Source organism: Homo sapiens, chromosome 7 (assembly GCF_000001405.40).
Source record: "Homo sapiens chromosome 7, GRCh38.p14 Primary Assembly".
In the NCBI taxonomy this organism is placed as follows: domain Eukaryota; kingdom Metazoa; phylum Chordata; class Mammalia; order Primates; family Hominidae; genus Homo; species Homo sapiens.
Genome location: NC_000007.14, coordinates 14,743,728 through 14,762,469, shown reverse-complemented (window position 1 = coordinate 14,762,469; position 18,742 = coordinate 14,743,728). Strand labels below are relative to the sequence as shown.

General features: G+C 35.2%; 1 protein-coding gene across 25 annotated transcripts in view; it reads left to right on the top strand.

Annotated features, from left to right (window-relative positions):
- The window catches only part of DGKB (diacylglycerol kinase beta), an 829,810-nt gene that overhangs the window by 212,389 nt on the left and 598,679 nt on the right, over positions 1–18,742 (top strand). For 14 of the 25 annotated variants that reach the window (XR_001744571.2, NM_001350717.2, NM_001350707.2 and 11 more), the window contains 2 exons: positions 4,739–4,815; positions 8,522–8,542. Coding sequence is in view for 24 of the 25 variants with exons in the window: in NM_001350717.2 (NP_001337646.1) it covers positions 4,739–4,815; positions 8,522–8,542 (98 nt within the window). In the remaining variant the exon portion in view is untranslated. The remainder of the gene's footprint in view (positions 1–4,738; positions 4,816–8,521; positions 8,543–18,742) is intronic. The other 11 variants (NM_001350711.2, NM_001350720.1, NM_001350712.1 and 8 more) reach the window with 3 other exon arrangements.

Genomic DNA, 18,742 nt, shown 5'->3' with positions numbered 1-18,742 from the left:
AATCGTTAAAAATTCTGAACATTTTAAAAGTAAATAAAAATTTAACGTTGATCCCTAAAATGTAGTTCATTTAACTCTCATGGCATTGTTTATTACATGACTCAGCCGAAATGAGAAGATTGACAGGGTGTGTGCATTTTGGGGGGCCCCTGGAATTACTCAAGTACCAGAGCAGGTGATAGAAAGGTAAAGTATAGGAGAAAGTCAACTCATCTCCCCATAAACATTTTCTTTGTTCTTTCCCAGCTCATTCCAAGAATGTTTGCTTAATAAAACACCTCCCGCTTTCATGCTCAGTACCATTTTCAGCTCTAAGTTGATTCTGACAGTGATGAAAAAGACAGCCCATTGTCTCAGCTGTAGTTATTGGTATAGTATTAAATTACTTGCTGGGAAAATGGATATGTTAGTCAAAGGGCAGTAATTTGTATTCACTGTTGTTTTCCAAGTATCCTGCCCTGCCAGTCAAGCCAAGCATAGGAACCTCTGAAATTAGCCCCATGTTTCAGAATTTCCCCAAGTCATACCCCTCCTTTGCTTTCCAGGAGACCCAATCTTTTGTGCTGCGCATCTGTCCAGCTCCCTTATCCCAAGAACTAAACCTGCTGTTTTCAACCTGGCTGCTCAGCACTGGGCTGCCTAGCACTTCACTGGCCAATCTTCCAGGTTCTTTCTCCCATTACAGACATGTATTTACTAAACTGATCTCCAAGCTCACAGCTGCCTGCCTGGCTGGCTGCTTGCCTGGATTTCTCAGCATTGCTCAGCCTAGTATCTGTCACTGTGCTCTTTCCCGAAGCTCTATTATTAGCTGAATTATGACTGAGGCCACGTCTTACTATCTGTTCATCCAGGTATAACTTCCTCTGTTTATTTTGTCCTAGAAGGCAGGTCAGGCCTAGTTATAGATCCTTTCCCCTCTCCACTGCCCCAGTGTAGTTTTGGACAGAATGTAACTCAGAGTTGGCACAATAAAAAAGATAGGAATGTTTATGGTGATAGGCCATAGGAAGAAATTTGGACAAGCAGTTAACTTACAAATAAGATAAATGTGTGTTCCCCCCAAAAGAAGGTAAAACATAGCAGTAGGATTTTCACAACCTAGTGCAATTTGGGTGTCCAAGAAGACATGTAGATAATTCATGTAAAAACAATGCTGTTGAAAGGTTATGGATATCCTGAACTCTCTGGTGTTCCATGCGCAAATCCTTATCTTTAGAAGATTGACCGGTCAAATCAGGGCCTCAGCCTTAGAGAAACTGGGCCCAAGAAATGTTATTGAGACAGGAATACAAAAACAAGATAATGCTCCAGTTTCCAAACTAGATTGTAAAGTGGAGATCAGGTCATAGTTAAACTTCAAATATTAAGATATTAGAACTGGAACTTGAGAATTGGAGAGGCAGTGAGTTGAATTGATAGTGATTCATCTGAATATCAACTAGAGCACTTTAAATTGTCTCAGACCAAGTCATTGTTGAGCCCTAGTTCATGGAAAGGGCAGTCATATATCTAGAGGTTTTTGGCTGTTAATTTAGCTCATGATTTCTCTACTAAGAATATTCAGTATAAACTATGACCAGTACACTAATAAAATATTGTAGGAATAATTTTATGAGCTTTCCCCTTCTCTGAGTCATTTATAAATAATTACTGAATATGTTTTTTACTCTCATAGAAACCTGAAACGAAAAGGCCATCTAAGCAGTGTCTCTAAAGTTGTGGGGCAGGCCTATGTGGGAGAAACCAAAATTGTTTTCTCCGCCTTCCATTTTATCATTGGCCTAAGATATGGTTAAAATAAACATAGTCTCTCGAGATATGATATTCCAGAATGTATGCATCTGTGTATGTGTGTGTCTCTGTGGGTCTGCACAGTATGGGTTGCATCTACGATTATGGATAAAAAGAAGTAAAAGCAGTTCTGCTAACTTAGAATAGTGCCTTATTACCCACAAAGAAGAATTTGAGAATAAGGGGTCAGCTTCATGTCTCTTTTTGATATGCAGTTTGGTCTCTCTCTGCAGTGTAAGTGTCTAACAAAGTACATATAGAAGCAATTATTGTAATTTTTTGCCATTTAGGAATAGCTCTGATTAATTTAATCTCAATATTTATTGCAATGCTATTGTTTCAACTTTGTGATGAAGTTGAAAGTTGTGCTAAAATGAAAACACACATTTTCTGCCCGAGAACAACCTCCAATCTAGCAAGGGACATGACATAAAAAATTAACTCTGATCACAATATGGAAAATGCCAGCAAATTATACACCAAAAAGGAAATACATAGGAAGCTGTATAGGCATCAAGCAAATGTGCGTACACACACACCCCCCAGAGGATGTCCACAACAAAAAGACAAACCGTCCAATTAAAAAATGGTCAAAGAACTTGAATAGACATTTTGCCAAAGAATATACAAACGACCAATAGGCATATAAAAAGATGCTCAGCATTATTAGTCATTAGCGAATGACTAATCAGATGTGAGTCGAATCATTTCACATCCACTAGGATGGCTGTAACAAAAAAAGGGTTAGAAAATAACAAGTTTTGGCAAGGATATAGAGAGACTGGAATCCTTACACCTTACTGGTGGGAGTGTAAAATGGTGTAGCTGTTGTGAAAATCAATTTGGCAGTTCCTCAAAACACTAAACATAGAGTTACTGTATGATCTGGCAATTTTACTATCAGGTATATAGCCAAGAGAATTGAATTATATGTTTATACAAAAACGTGTACACTTGAATGTTCATAGCAGAATTCCTAACAGCCAAAACCTGGAAACAAGTTGAATGTACATCAGCTGATAAATAGATTTATTAAATGGAGTATATTCATTATAATGGAATATTATTCAGCTATAAAAAGGAGTGAAGTACTGATACATGTTATAACATGGAAAAACCTTGAAAACACTAAGCTAAGTGAAAGAAGCCAGACACAAAGGAAACATATTATATGATTCAATTTACATGAAATATCCAGAATAGGCAAATCCATAGACACAGAAAATAGGCTAATGATAGCCAGAGGTTAGAGGGGAGAAAATACAGGGAGTGACTGTTTAATGGGCATAAGGTTTCTTTACAGGGTGATGAAAATGTTATGGGATTAATCAGAGGTAATGATTGCACAACATCATGAATATGCTAAAAATTACTGAATTGTACACTTTGAAATTGTTAATGTCAATTTTATGTGACACGAATTTTATCTCACTTAAAAGTACTGTTTCACAGGCTGAGCACGGTGGCTCATGCCTGTAATCCCAGTTCTTTGGGTGGCTAAGGTGAGTGGATCACCTGAGGTCAGGGGTTCGACACCAGCCTGGCCAACGTGGTGAAACCCTGTCTCTACTAAAATTATAAAAATTAGCCAGGCATGGTGGTAAGCCCCTGTAATCCCAGCTACTTGGGAGGCTGAGGCAGGAGAACCGGTTGAACCCAGGAGATGGAGGTTGCAGTGAGCCAAGACTGTGCCATTGCACTCCAGCCTGGGTAACAAGAGCGAAACTCTATCTATCTATGTATCTATCTATCTATCTATCTATCTATCTATCTATCTATCTATCTATCTATTGTTTCACACACATACACAAACCCACAGAATTTACAATATAAAGAAAGGAAATGGTACATTCCAAGTAAAAGTACAATTCACAAAATATAGGCATTATATATTCAATGGGCATCTATGAGAGAGTTTTCTAGCAGGATGTTTCAAAAGCTAATTTGTGAATTAGTTTTCTGGAACTGGGAAATATTTTGTGGTAGTCCAAGTATCACTGACTCTTAGGGAAGGTCAACAAGAATTATATTCAATTGGTAGCCAATAATTTTCCATGCTCTGTTCCATAAAAGAAAACTGGGAAATCCATGTATTTCCTACATTTTAATTTTGAGGTTTTTTCATTATTATTCAAACTTGATTAAATATTTAGATGACTTACCCATATTTGTTAGCTATTATTTCCTTCTAACTTAAAAATGCGTTGTAATTCTGAGATTTCTAAATCAAAAATTATATTTCAATAAGTATAATGAGCATATTTTAGTAGACTGAATGTATATATCTATATCATATTAATGTATTTAACTTTAATTGTAATACTGATAATTCTTTTATGACATTATTTTATTAACTTAAAATTTCTTGTCACCAACTAATAAGATGAAAGGTTTAAAAATAATAGTACTTTTGAAGAAAATAATTTATAATTCTTTTGGTAATATGTCTAAGCTTTGTTTCTTCATTGAATAGGGTAAGCTTTAATTTATACATAACAAAACTAAAATGTTATTCGTAATGCATATATAGGGTAAAATATGTGACACAACTAAATTAAAGCTTACTTACTAAAACTTTAATTACTAAAGTAGGCTTTAGTTTAGTTGTGTTATGTATACAGAGAAAATTCTCCTTAAAAATATCTACAGATACTAAAATCTATAGCGTCCCTCTAAATGGATTCACCATTGAGGCTTAGCTACCCATATTTTTCTTATCCAGCTGTATTGTTTTTATTTAATGCAGTGATCTTTTTGCTCCTTTGCAATTTCTTTTCCAATTAAATAGCCTTTCAAAAATGGCAAGAGATATTTTATGTGTTGGTTTTTAAATTTAGTTTCTGCTGATGCTTATTTACATTTTAAGTGGTCTCTGTTTCTGGACTGGGCTACACAACCACAGTATGTGCATATAAACAATTTTTGTGTTTTCTGTTTTTTATAGATTCTACAAAGAAATTAAAGGATGTTCTTGAAGAATTCCATGGTAATGGTGTGCTTGCAAAGTATAATCCTGAAGGGGTAAAACTTCTTTTTCTTTATATCAGTTTCGTATATATGCTTGGAAGAGGGTATTTCTTAATAAACAATTCTTGGAAAAATGTATGTGTGTGTGTGTGTATGTATATGTACACATATACATTATATATGTATGATACAGATGTATGTATATGTGTATGTGTGTGTATATATATATATATGCACACCATAAACCATTTACCATGTATCATAACATAAACAAAATGAAGTTCATAATGCAGTGCTATTCTAGAAGATATATTAAATGTTGTACATTTTTCGTTCAAATAACTCTTCTATATTGTATGCTTGAAAGAATATGAATCATTTAAGTGTAGCGTTGGTTCTTTTCCTAGAAGTCAGGAAACAGCATTGGATAAAATAGAGAAGGAGTATGCTTGGCTCTCAGTCTATGACCCACGAATTTCAATCCAAAATGGATATTGGTGTAGGGGTAGGGAGTTACCCCTTTCAGGCAATTATTTCCTTGACCAAAGAAGGATTTTGTGTTGCTTATACCTGGTCCGTCACCTTAAGGAACCAACTTGTACAAAAAGGGAGGAATTTTTTTAATCTTCTATTTTACCTTTTACCAGTAAGCTTAAGATTTCTTTAAGATTTTCTTATGAAAACTTTGCATGTCTTGTCAATTGCTTTTGAATACCATGCTGGAATGAATGCCTTTTCCTTCCTAATTGCTTGTTAAATAACCTATTTAATATTAGTTGAGAGATGTTACATTTTAAATGTTCGATCATCATTACTGTTAGTTCATTTGCAGCTTCAGAAGGCAACATTTACGTTGCTTCATACTTCTCTTTGCAAAAGACCCTTTTGTCAGGATGTATTAACTAGATAGATTTGTTTGCTGACTAAAATGTGACTTATTTTTTGCTATTATTGTTTTTTTTTTGTATGTTTGCAAGAGCACACTTCTTAGTTATCTTTCAATATTGTACTTCCCTGGGATTTCTAGAACTTAATTTTAGTTATCATAACCCTCAAGATATTCAAATTGTTTTGAAATTTCCTATCAGTATTTCTCGTAGTTAGCTATTTTTCATGTCATATTTTCTTATTCTCTCTACATTCTGGTACATTACTGTAACTTTTAAAACTCTTTAGCCTGGAATTTATTTTCTTCTTAAAAAATAAAATTAATATTTGGTGCCTATAAATGATGGAGAAAATAAAGGCTATTTAAAGCCGTTCCCTTTTTCTGTATTAGAAAAAAAATAGATGTTTGACCTACATTTCCCTTGTATTTTTCTAGATGCCATAGAGGAGGAGGAAAAAAAAATTAGCAGCTAAACTTACAAAACTGAGAATCTCAAAGCCTAAGAAAGCAGGGTGGGAAACGTAAAGATGAATTATAGCACTGAATTGCTATAAGACACAAAAATTGTCATTAATATTTATATTCACAACAATATTTGAAAACTTACATGCTTATCTAATCTATATACAGAGATAAAACCTGTTTTTCTCCATAATGATAGCTGCTGGCTACAAACTCAGTTAAGTGATCTTGTTTGCAAAGCAGCCTTTTTGCTTCAATTATTTTTTATTTATAGGACTCTCAAGACTTAGTCTTACTGTAATTATATATTTCATGAGAATTATCAGTCACCATATGCTGCATTTTTTGAGGTAGTTATTAGATCATTATTAGACACACATATCACCCTTTTCAACAATGTAATACATTTCATAAATGTACAGATCTATTGTTGAAACATGTTATTAAAATAACGAACAGTTGAAAAACAAAAAGTTAGATCTCATTACAACCCAAGAACAATTCTAAATTAAGAGCAAAACCACTCTCTGATCTTAGTTAATTTTCATAAAATTTTTCCTTCGGAAGAAAATTTTAAGGCTTATATAACCATTTAAAAAACTAGTATGTATCTTCTAAAAGCCAATTGAAAATAATTAAGAATATCTAATGATGAGAAATAAATCTTTATGCCCTTAAAGTTCTCTTCAATACATGACCTCATCCAATTTATAAAAAATTACTCTTACAATATGGCAGAATTCCTAATGTCAATTCACATGTGAAGTTATCACTCTGCATTGGCTGGTCAAGTTGACCCCAAAGTTGTTTGCACTGATGACTAGTTAATGATGCTGAATTATACAAGAAAAAATGGACAATTGAGTAATGCAACCTGAATTTGGAATGAATAATTAATTCATCGTTTTCTAAAAGGAACATAGCTTGTATCATTTACATAAAATGTATTTGCAAAAATTAAATTGCTTATCCTCCTACAACATAAAGCTGTTTAAATCGTAGATGTACTATTTTGCTTATAATTCACTTGAATTACTGAAGTTTTAAAGTGCTGGGGATAAAAATTTAACCCAAAAAGATATGACCTGTTGAAGTCTATTTTAATAGAGAAAAAATATTAAGTATAATATGTGAATGAATCATTTACTTTTAATTCCCATCTTTTAAAGATCATTTGATAATCATTCCTTGAAGAAATGAATAAGAGAAATCTAAACAATAGCCTTAAAGATTCTGTAGGAATAAAAACCATTCAAAGGTCTTGAGATTCCCAAATTAATAAAATTACAAAGTTTTTAAATAAAGAAACTATTTTAAGAAAAGTGAAATGATTTGTCCAAGATTCACCAGCTAGCTTGTGACAGTAACCACAACAAAAACCTAATTGACTAGAATCCCAGTTTAAGGCTAATGCCCTGTGCTCTTCACTTCATTGACCAAGCCATAGGGGAGAGGAACATCCTCTTAGATAGGAAGGAGAAAGGTTAGGGGAAGGCATGGGAAGACATTGCTTTTGTAGTGAGTGTGGCACTTCCCAGTACACATACATATTAATGACTCATGCCTGACAAGGGGAGAGAGTCTTATTAGCCTCCACCTACTCTTGTGTAAATAATATAATGTTAAGAACGTTATTACAGCTAGTTTGTAGCAGAGATCCAGTTTCAGTGAGGTTATTCTCAGTAAAACATAGTCAGGCCATGTAAATAGTCTCCTGAGAGCAGTAGAATTTGGTAGTATGAGGGGAAACCAGTTTAGCATTCCACACATTTTTTTTTTCTTTTGATCTTGGACTTCAAGTTCAATTCCAAATTGTTCCACTCACAGCTGAGATATGGGAAGAAAGTGGCAGATGTGTATAGAAATATATTTTAATCTTTAAGAGTATGGAGAGATGCTAGGCGTGACGCTAATAGAAGGATATCTTAGGAATGGGAAATACATATTCAAAATCTAATATACCTTTATATAGATGGTTATATTTCTGTTAATCCTCTAAAATATTTTAATCACACTGTATGTGTTACATATTATATTTATCTAATGTCAGAACAGTTTGCTTATTATATACAAAGATTGATCTAGTCATTGATTCTGAAATTTTAGTGTACCTCAGAATCAACCGGGGGGCTTGTCAAAACATGGATTGCTGCCTGCCTCCCCCCGACCCCACGCAGTTTTAGATTCAGTGTTTCTGAGGTGGGGGTCAAGAATTTGCATTTCTATCAGTTTTCTAACTTATGCTGATGCCACTGTTTCGGAACCACCTTTTGAGGCCTATGGATCTAGGGTGTGTTTTAAAATCAACCTGTAAACTTGAACTTTTAGCTAAATAATCAGAGATATGAGATAATGAGTATAAAGTATCTTACATTAACACATGTATTCTTTCTTTCCTTGCATGCACAGAAACAAGACATTCTTAACCAAGTAAGACATTTTCTTTTCTATTAAAGTCTGTCTTTTCTTTCTTTATTCTGATATGATCTATGAATTTCTCATCCATATCACTGAACTATACTTCTGTACCAATATGATTTCTATAGTATACAAGGTTGCCTATAATACTCATAGGTTATAACTAAGCTGGATGTGACAAAATTTTTAATCCATCAAAGGATTTCGTGCCTTAATAGGAGCTGGTACCTTAATAGACAAAAAGGGTCTCAAGTGTGGCCTTCAGTTTTGTAGACTCTGGAATTTATTTTTCTAATTTCATGAAGATATATAAGGCTGTGCTATTATATTTTATTTAGTAAAAGTCTTAATTTATTAATTTACCATGGGAAATTTTAAAATTGCATTTAAAATGCAATGATAAGGCTTTGTTTTGTTTTGTTTTGTTTTGTTTTGTCTACAGTGCTGTGATAGAATATGTGGGGGAAACATAAGCAAAGAGTTGTTGATTTTGCCCTCCTGGGAAGATTATTCAATCTGTTGCTTCAACCACTCTCCCTGAAAATCTGTTTTGTAAATTAAGTTTTAGAACAGTAGTTCAGTTGGGTGCACAGAATTACAACACATTTTCAGGTGCTCTAAATGGACATTTTTAATCACACTAGAGTAGCTATATCAATTGTCTTCGCCACTGTAGAAATATTTCTTGCTAAAATGTATGAGTTATCTAAAACCGTAATATTGTCTCCTTTGGGCAATCTTGGATATGTACTAGCTTCTTCTTATTCTTAAATTGTTTGATGCTTTTAATGACAACAGCCACTGTAATTTCATGTCCAACACGTAAAGTACAATTATAACATCAGAATGATACTGGTGGACTTAGATACAGATCCTACATCTTACAATATTCTATAAAGAGACATTGGTAACATGGCAACTCATTGACTGTGGCGAGATTTACTAGCCTCCATTTCAGAGCATGGCCTTTTCCTGATTTCATCTCTGACTTTTCTGGAAACTTGTTTCCCCAAATATGGACTAAATAGGCTTTATGACACTTAAGAGGCAATCCCTTGGAGTAAATGATTTGTTTTCATTTACTCTAATGTAGTCATTCAAGAATGTCTACATTTTCAGGACTCGGCTATTAAATGACTTTTGTTGAGCACCCAACAAACACACCTTTCTCCACAACCTACATCCTTACTAGAGGCTGTCTGAAAATTCATGTCAAAATAAGCTCTAGCTTTTTGGAGAGTCAGCAGAGTGAGTTTCTTCCTTCCTTTTCCTTGCCCAGTCTTTGTTTCATGTGCAGTGGCTTAGTAGGCAAGCAATTGCAGTTACAGAATAGAAAGAATTGACAAAACTGAGGGTGTTCAAGGGGAGAAGAATGACAGCCTGCACATATTACTGCTCTATGTGTGCTCTTTGTCTATCAGTGTTCTCTGAGTGTAGGATTTCCTCCGTACATGTTTCCTGTCAGTAGATGTTCCTTGGCCTGAGGCTGAGTTACGCTTTCATAACTCCACAGGGGCTTGCTTTATTTTCGCACTTTGTACTCTGTATTGTAGTTTCTTTTAATGTGTATACCCTTTGCATTCAGACAATATGCTTTTACCCTTAATAAGGAACCTGGGGATTCAAAACCTACCTTTTGTAGTGCTGCTGCCTAAAGTAATATTTTAAATGTCTTTAACAAGGATAATGACACTGATATAATTATTAACAATGATATAAAAACCTTTTTACTGTAATCTATAATTATCCTTCTAGAACCAAATTCAACCCTTTCCATTATGGAAAGGATAAGGAAAGTATAACAGAGAAAATATGGTCTGAGGAGTCTGACTGAACCGAATTCATCTTAACGGATCTTGGACAAGTTTTCTATCTTTAGTTTGTTCACTTATAAAAGGAAGAGAGCATCAGCCTTATTGGACTGTTAAAAGGGTTAGGTTCTAAAATGTATGTATAATAAATAGCTCTGTGTCTTGCACATAAAAGGTGTTCCACTAATGTTTAGAGACAGTGGCTGTGGTCATACTTTAATGACCAATGTGATTTCATAGAAAAGTTCTAGAGAACATGCCAAAGATGAAAGTGAGAATATTGGAGATATACCACCAACAAATTCTATTTCCTTTATTTTCTCAGGACCTCATTTTCTCATTTTAAATTGAGGAACTATAACTCTGATGTCTTCTGCATTCAAAAGTAATTTCCTTCCACCATGTGGTAGGAGTGGGGAACATGACGTGTAATTTGCTTCCCCTCCCAAACCTGGCCACAATCCTGAGTGCTGTTCTGATAGCAGAGCTATTGTCTGTTGTATTGCTTCACTTCCTACAACTGCATGGTGCTAGCACAGTTAGTTAGCAAGGAACAGAAATAGTATGTTAACCAGTATTTCTGCTTCTCTTCACTATTACCATCAATATAGTTTCAGTGATGTTCCTCTTCTTATCAAATCTACCTACAATTATAAAATACAATTATACCAATTGTGATCAATTGCTTTCTTTACAAACAAGTTTTGAAATCAAGCATAAATACATTTGGGAAATAAATAAACAAGTAACTCTCCTTAGTTTAATGATAAATTCCAACTTTGAAAAGTGGTATTTAAATTCACACTGTAGAATGTTTGTTCTTTCATTTCTTTAATAACATTTATTAAACAATTGATATAGAAGTTAAAAACTAATGCTGGGGTTTTTAGGTGATCTTTTTGTACTTTTCCAAGTATAAGTTAAAACCAACATTACTCTGTCACATCTAAGTTTTATTTTTAGGGTTTATCTGTTGTTTTTACTTGTGCTTTTTCATCATTAGAAATGGCTTTTTTGGCCAGGTATGGTGGCTCACACCTGTAATCCCAGCACTTTGGGAGGCCAACGTGGGCCAGTCATTTGGGGGTCAGGAGTTTGAAACCAGCCTGCCAGCCTGGCCAACATGGTAAAATACTGACTCCACTAAAAATACAAAAATTAGCTGGGTGAGGGAGTGAGCGCCTGTAGTCTCAGATACTTGGGAGGCTGAGGCAGGAGAATCACTTGAACCCAGGAGGTGGAGGTTGCAGTGAACCGAGATCGCGCCATTGCACTCCAGCCTGGGCAACAACAGAGTGAGACTCTGTCTCAGAAAAAAAAAAAAAAAAAAAAAAAGAAATAGAAATAGCTTTTTCAAGGGAAAGAACACTGCAGGGTACTAAAGGAATATAAATCTAGACATTTTGGTAAAAAGGCTTAGAATGTCTACGAATTTTAAGTTTTATAGGTGAAAGAAATTATAAATCATATTTTTAGGTGAACAAGTTAAATTCTCTATTTAGAAAAATACCTCCAGTAGCAATGTGGGGCATGGACTTGGGTAGAAGAGAAGACTAGATATGAGTTATGGAAGCAGTCCAATCAAGTAAGAACACTAGATGACAATGGGCATCAGAATGGAGATGGAGGCGGGCAGATTTGAACACATTTCAGGTATACGACCCAAAGTAATAGGTTGTACTTTGAACATCGAAGGTTACAAAAACAGTTACAGTCAACACAACGTTTTCAAGAGTGGGAAACTGAATAATCGTACCATTACTTTTAATTGTTATACCTTATTTGTGTATATCTTTTTTTTCTCAAACGGCAGACCAATTTGACACAGCAGCAAATGCATCTAATACTGATAAACCAGTGGGAAATTACCTTATACCATGTGTTAATATTGCAAAATCTGTTTAGAAAATTATGCTTTAACTATAACATAATGTGCATTGAAGCTAGAAATATTTATGTCTTCAGTGTCAATTAGAAGCTTGTGGTGTTGGGCAATTTAAGGAACTTTTCTGAGCCTTAGTTTCTTTGTCCATAGGTTTTGTGATGACTAAATGATAGCACACATATAACATATTTAGTGCAGTTCCTAAAACATAGTAACATTTGGATAGTGTTACATAATGAGGACCTGTAAGGTAAAAGACTGTGTCATACACTTAGTGATGCAAAGTCGTGTTGGATCATATAGCCCTTCAGGAAAGAGAAGTTTTGCATGGAATCTGTCTGCTCATATGTGCATTATAAAAACCCCCTGTGGAGATTTTCTTTAAAAGTGAACATACAAGTAAGGAATAATTAAAAACTGATCTTATTAATTGAAATTATATATACAAAGGTTTCCAAGACATTTTTATTGGGTTTTATTTTTCAAGGAGAAAATGTTAGAGGATTTATGTGTGTGTTTCAGTAACACTCACTCCTGTCCTAGTGACAACACCAAAAAATGTTTGGTGTGACAAGACAGTGTCACACCAGATTAAAATAGATTTCAGCTGAAGAATAAAACAGTTAGCTATAGATCCTTGATTAAAAGACATACTGAAATCATAGTAAAAATATTCTGCTTAAACTTTTTCGAATCCATTATTTGCTTTTTGTAATTAGTAGAATGTAGTAGCATTATCTTTCGGCCATTTCCTATTTTTTACTAAAATAATATATTTCTAATTGTCTTTCTACTGAGTCTTCATAATTCTAGTCTTAGGTAAAGGTAGAGTTAATGGAGTATGTGACTCTGAAGTGCTAAAATAGTTTTCATTTGCCAAAACTAATTTAAAAATTAAAATTCAAGGTTTTCACACTTTGTACTCTTTCTCTTCAAAGGAACTATCTATATGACAGCTTTAGGGGACTATCAAGGAACTCTCTGAAATTTGAAATAATGAATAGTCAATTGCAGTGCAAGATAAGCATAAGAAATGCAATATTTAAAATATAAATTTTTCTAAGTGAATTTTAACATAAAAAATTGTATTTTGAAATCTCAGTAAGATAGCCATGCTGCATATTTAATCAATATACTTTTGCTCAGTGACCTTCATATCAATTTTTGAGTTTGATATAATTAGTTAATGATATAAATTAGAATGCGAAATAGAAATGGAACTGTAAAAAAAACTCTGATTAATTTAAATTATTATCTAGTTAATTTCATCAGAGTTCTTTGCCCAGTAAGCGCATAGTATTTTACACATATAGGTACTCAGTCAACATTGGTTGATAGATAAAGTGATTTCTTTGTGGTTTCAAACAGTTGCTTTATCTATAATAGTTGAATGATTCATTTTTGTGTTTTAGGAGTCACTTATTAATTAGTGGTGAGCTAGTTAGAAAAACATAAAAACTGATGATAGGCTATCTTTTGTCTGATACAAATAAGTGTTATAATGGTCACATGGTTCTGTTAAAATATGAGTCAGATCATGGAATTTCCTACTAAAAACTCACTCCACATTAAAGCTATAACTCTCTTTTGATGATCTAATATCCTGTATGCTCTGCCCAGTCCACACATTGCCACAGCTTGAGTCTTTGACCTTGTATTCTACTACTCTGGTCCTCCCTCACTCCTGCTCCAATTTCCTGCTCCTCCTCACTGGCTCCAGTGGAAATTTCTCTAGCACAGGGGCATCATTATACCTCAGGGCCATTGTACTAGCTGTCTTCTCTGCCTGAAATGTGCTTTCTCCAAATATGTGCAAATATGTGCCTCATCACCTTTAAATCTTTACTCAAAGAATAGCTTCTCATTTCCTGATAATTGGATTTAAAAAACTGCAAGCACATTCCCCCAAGAAATCTTTTTCTTCTTTATTTTTTTTCTATAGCATTTAATACCATTAGACATTGTAGATTGAGCACATTAATGTTGTTCTTATTCCTTTCATTAGAAGATAAGCTCCCTCATGGAAGGAATTTTGTGTGTTCTAGTAACATCTTTACCCAAACACCTAGAACAGAGCCTGGTGCAGAGTGGGTGCTCAAAGAACACTTTCTGAATATGAGAAAATCTACAACCCAAAACTACCAAAAGAAATTAAGGATAGAGTGATGACATTTATTTTCATTCACTTTGAATCTGCATGGATGAATACTAGTGTCTTCTCTTTAGTATTAACAGGGATTTAAAAACAAAGGATCCAGATGGTCAGAAATAATAATGAAAGGCATATAGAAATGTGCCTTGAATCTGTGCCAATTTGGCAGCGACATCTGAGCAGCTCCCTCAGTCAGTCTTCTTTACAAATTCTCTGTTATCTCCCTAAATAGTCTGTGGCTGTTCCTTAAGGAAAAAAATGAGAAAGCAGTTTTTAAAATTTTGAACATTTGTGTGTGTGTGTGTGTGTGTGCGTGCGCGTGGATGTGTTTGAGCCCACAGCAATTCAATTTTTGAATAGTCATTCAGTTAAGTCTGACCCAATTTGTATCATTAATGGCTTCATTGATATGCATATAAATGATCTCATTCTATTTAAAGGTCACAGTCTTCAAAAAGCAATTCTAATGCTGTTACATGACAGCAATAGAAACTCTGATGCCTAAATTTGGAAATTTTCTTGTAAGTCATGATCTAAGGAAAATGTACAGATGAAGATATCATCCATTTATCAGAAATGTCTAATAATGTGGACAACATAGAATTTTAGGAGATATTTGAAAAGATTTTACTAACAAGAGAAGAAAAGGGACGGGTTAACCAGGAAACACATTGAAGAAACATTTCTCAATGAATTGAAAACTCTGAGTTAGAAAATTAAAAAAAAAAACTATTAGCCAGGCATGGTGGCACAATCCTGTGGTCCCAGATACTGGGGAGGATGAGGTGGAAGGATTGCTTGAGTCTGGGAGATTGAGGCTGCAGTGAGCTATGATTGGGCCACAGTACTCCAATCTGAGCAACAGAGAGAGACCTTCTCTTAGGAAAAAAAAAAAAAAAAAAAGAGGTTTGTGTTTTCCCACATTGCAAGCCCTATCTAATGCCAGAAAATGTGAGATAAATTAATTTTGCTCCAAAGAACACAGTGAAGAAGTTTGAGAAACAAGCTTACATTGTCAGTAACACTTCAGCAATAAATAATGTGATGTCATCTTGTAGAAATAATTTAAGAATTGAGGAAATTTTTACTCCATTCTTATATCTGTAATAGGCTTTTATTTTTCAAAGGAAGATTTTTTTTTTAGAATTATTGCCTTATAAAAGTTGTTATTTGTCTCTGTTATCTGACACAGAAATGTTATAGCAAAGTATTTGAGACACACAAAACCTGAAGTTTTTATTCAGAAAGATGCAATGAATTTTACAGTTTTCTGTACCAATAAAAAGGCAAATTGGCTGGGCATGGTGGCTCACACCTGTAATCCCAGTATTTTGGGAGGCCGAGGCAGATGGATCACCTGAGGTTAGGAGTTCATGACCAGCCTGGCCCACATGGTGAAACCCTGTCTCTACTAAAAATACAAAAATTAGCTGGGCGTGGTTGTGAGCACCTATGATCCCAACTATTCGGGAGGCTGAGGCAGTAGAATTGCTTGAACCCAGGAGGCGGAAGTTGCAGTGAGCCAAGATCACGCCATTGCACTCCAGCATGGGGTGGGGAAGAGCAAGACTTTGTCTCAAAAAAATAAAAAAAGGAAAATTAAAGTAACTTAAAAATGTATCTAAGCTGAGGACAGTTCTTCCTTTAACCTAATCCTTTTATTTATTTTATATATTATGTGCCCAAGTGTATGCTAAGTGCTTTACATCAATTTTTATCATATTGGGACAACTCTGAATGATTGATTCCTTTTTTTTGTATATGGAGTCTCACTCTGACACCCAGGCTAGAGTGCAGTGGTGTGATCTCAGCTCACTGCAACCTCTGCCTCCAAGGTTCAAGTGATTCTCCTGTCTCAACCACCCAAGTAGCTGTGACAATAGGCACATGCCACCATGCTAATTTTTTTATTTTTAGTAGAGACGGGGTTTTGCCACATTGGCCAGGCTGGTCTTGAACTCCTGACCTCAGGTGATCTGCCTGCCTCAGCCTCCCAAAGTGCCAGGCATGAGCTAGCATGCCCAGCCTGAATGAATGATTTCATATACCACTTTATATAGAGGGAATTAAGGCTTAGAGCTGTCAGAAAATAAAACAGTATTTTGCTTGCTGAGCCAGAGAGAACTATACTTTAGAAATTTCAGAAAGTTTTCCTGCATGCTGAAAAAAGAAGAGTCAAGAAGAAATGTGTTGCTTATTAGGAGAAATGCCAGTGATGCAGGAATTTTTGCTCCTTAGTTCAGCTAAATCCAGGTTCTTGTCTCATGACCAGGAAAAATTAAGCATGCGACACATTGAAGGCTGAGGAGGGCAGAATTTATTAAGTGAAAGGAAAGTGCTCAGAAAAGAGAGGGGTCCTGCACACAGGTTTTCACCTCACAAATTGAATACCAGGCCACCACACATGAGCTGAAGAGGTCAGGCTCCTCCCCTGCATAAAGCACAAATTTTTGGTGGCTCTGCCCAATCATTCCAGTGCACATGTGGGCCCTTAGTCTGAGCCACTACACATTGATTTATTTCCCTACTGAGCATGTGTTAAGGGACAGAATTTTTCTCTGTGACCATGCTTAGGCAAGCCCCCCTGTGCTCAATAACCTGAGTGGGTCAGAGGTTCTCTGTGGACCCTCCTTTATCTGCCTAGGCATTTGCCTCCTACTTCTATTATTCTTCCCTCTAAAGTGGTACACAAGAGGTACTGCAGTTAGAATAGGGACGAAGACTGATCTTAACTGCTTCCTGCTCTTAGGGGGCACTGTTTTGGAAATATGGCAGTCATAACTCTCTCGAAAGCCTATTTAAGGGTCTCTGTTAAAAGGGGCCATTGTTTGAGACTCTGGTTGCATGATCGCTTGGAGTTTGATGGCCTGAAGGTGAGAAGAGACAAACGGAGTTATTAGAAGACATATATTAAAACCAAACAAAGAGGGATGGGTAAGGGCAGCTGAAAAATCCCAAGGCTGTCAGCATGCCCAGATAACTGGTGGCTATAATTATGCCTGCTAAGATTGGTTGCATGGGGCTTGGCTTTGGTTTGCTCCTTTGGTCTTATTTTCCCAGAGGAACCTCTGGGTTATGGGCACCCTATTTACTCCTATCAGATGTCAGGATTAGCAGGATAACTGCTCAGAATTAAAATATTGATCCAGATTATTACATTACCCATGCCTTTTGTTTCTTCTGAGTTGTAGCCAGAAATTGCTGGTTGGTTCACAGGAATAAGAGGGTTAATGTAAAATGTAGGCAAAAAAAAATTCAAAACAACTAATGAGACTAGAATTTAATGACAAATGTGTGGTAAGTTTTGAAACATAATTTTTATCTCCCCAGTCCTCATTTTTGTTAAAAACAATTCATGATAGGACTGAGTTGTTTGCAAAATAGACTTCAGTCTTATACTTGGCCTGACAGTTTGCATAAAGTGCAGCAAGAATAATTATTCTTACATACACTTTTAAAATTGCTTTTGATGGAATTCTGTTCCATAAGGAATCTCAGATAGGACTTTGGAAAGCCCAGCCCAGCCATGGGTTAGCACCCTCAAATACCTATGAATTGGGTGAATTCCTCTCTTCTTGAGGTTCCTAGAATATAGAGTTCCTGGGCCCATTAGAAAGTGACATTCTTTACTCATTACAGATTAGGAACCCTGTATGAGGACTGTGTAGACAAGGTATGAGGCCAGTTTTCCCAAGGGGCTTTTATTGACTCTGCAACTCAAGCTTGATTCCTTAAAAGGAAGTACACCTCTCCAGTCAAAGCCTTGGTAAAACAACCCATCTCTCCAACTGTGTACTGTTGCCAGAGAAAATGAATTCCTATTGCACTGATGCAAATAACCATATTGCCATAAGTTAAGAATACTCACAGATAGTTTCCAAATTCTAGAAGAACCAGGCAAAGAGAAAGAAGTATGCTCCAAATTTTGTTCACATGAGTATAGCTTACTCAATTATTAAAGACTGTAAATAGCTCAAAATAAAAGTTTTCTTGACTCTGAATAACAAAACAAGGACCAGCAATGTTTCAAGCAAAAGGTTTTAAAAAAAGATTACTTCAGTTTTCTATTAGTTCAGTCCATTCAGTTAACTCATGCTCTGCTTGATATTCGTGAATGTTTCAGCTCTTTCATGAGTCCTGTACGTTTTCCCTTTAGTCCAGTGTTAGAGTCTCCAAAGTTATCAGAAACTTGTATTGGAGAACACCCATCAAACTTTTATAGCTGATTATTAACCATCTTTTGAAGGGGATCAAAAGAAGACAATTGTTTATGAATAACAAAATGACCAGGGTAGTTACAGTCAGAAATGTGATTGACAAAATGTGGTTATCTCTGTGGCTTACAATAACTTAATATAACAACC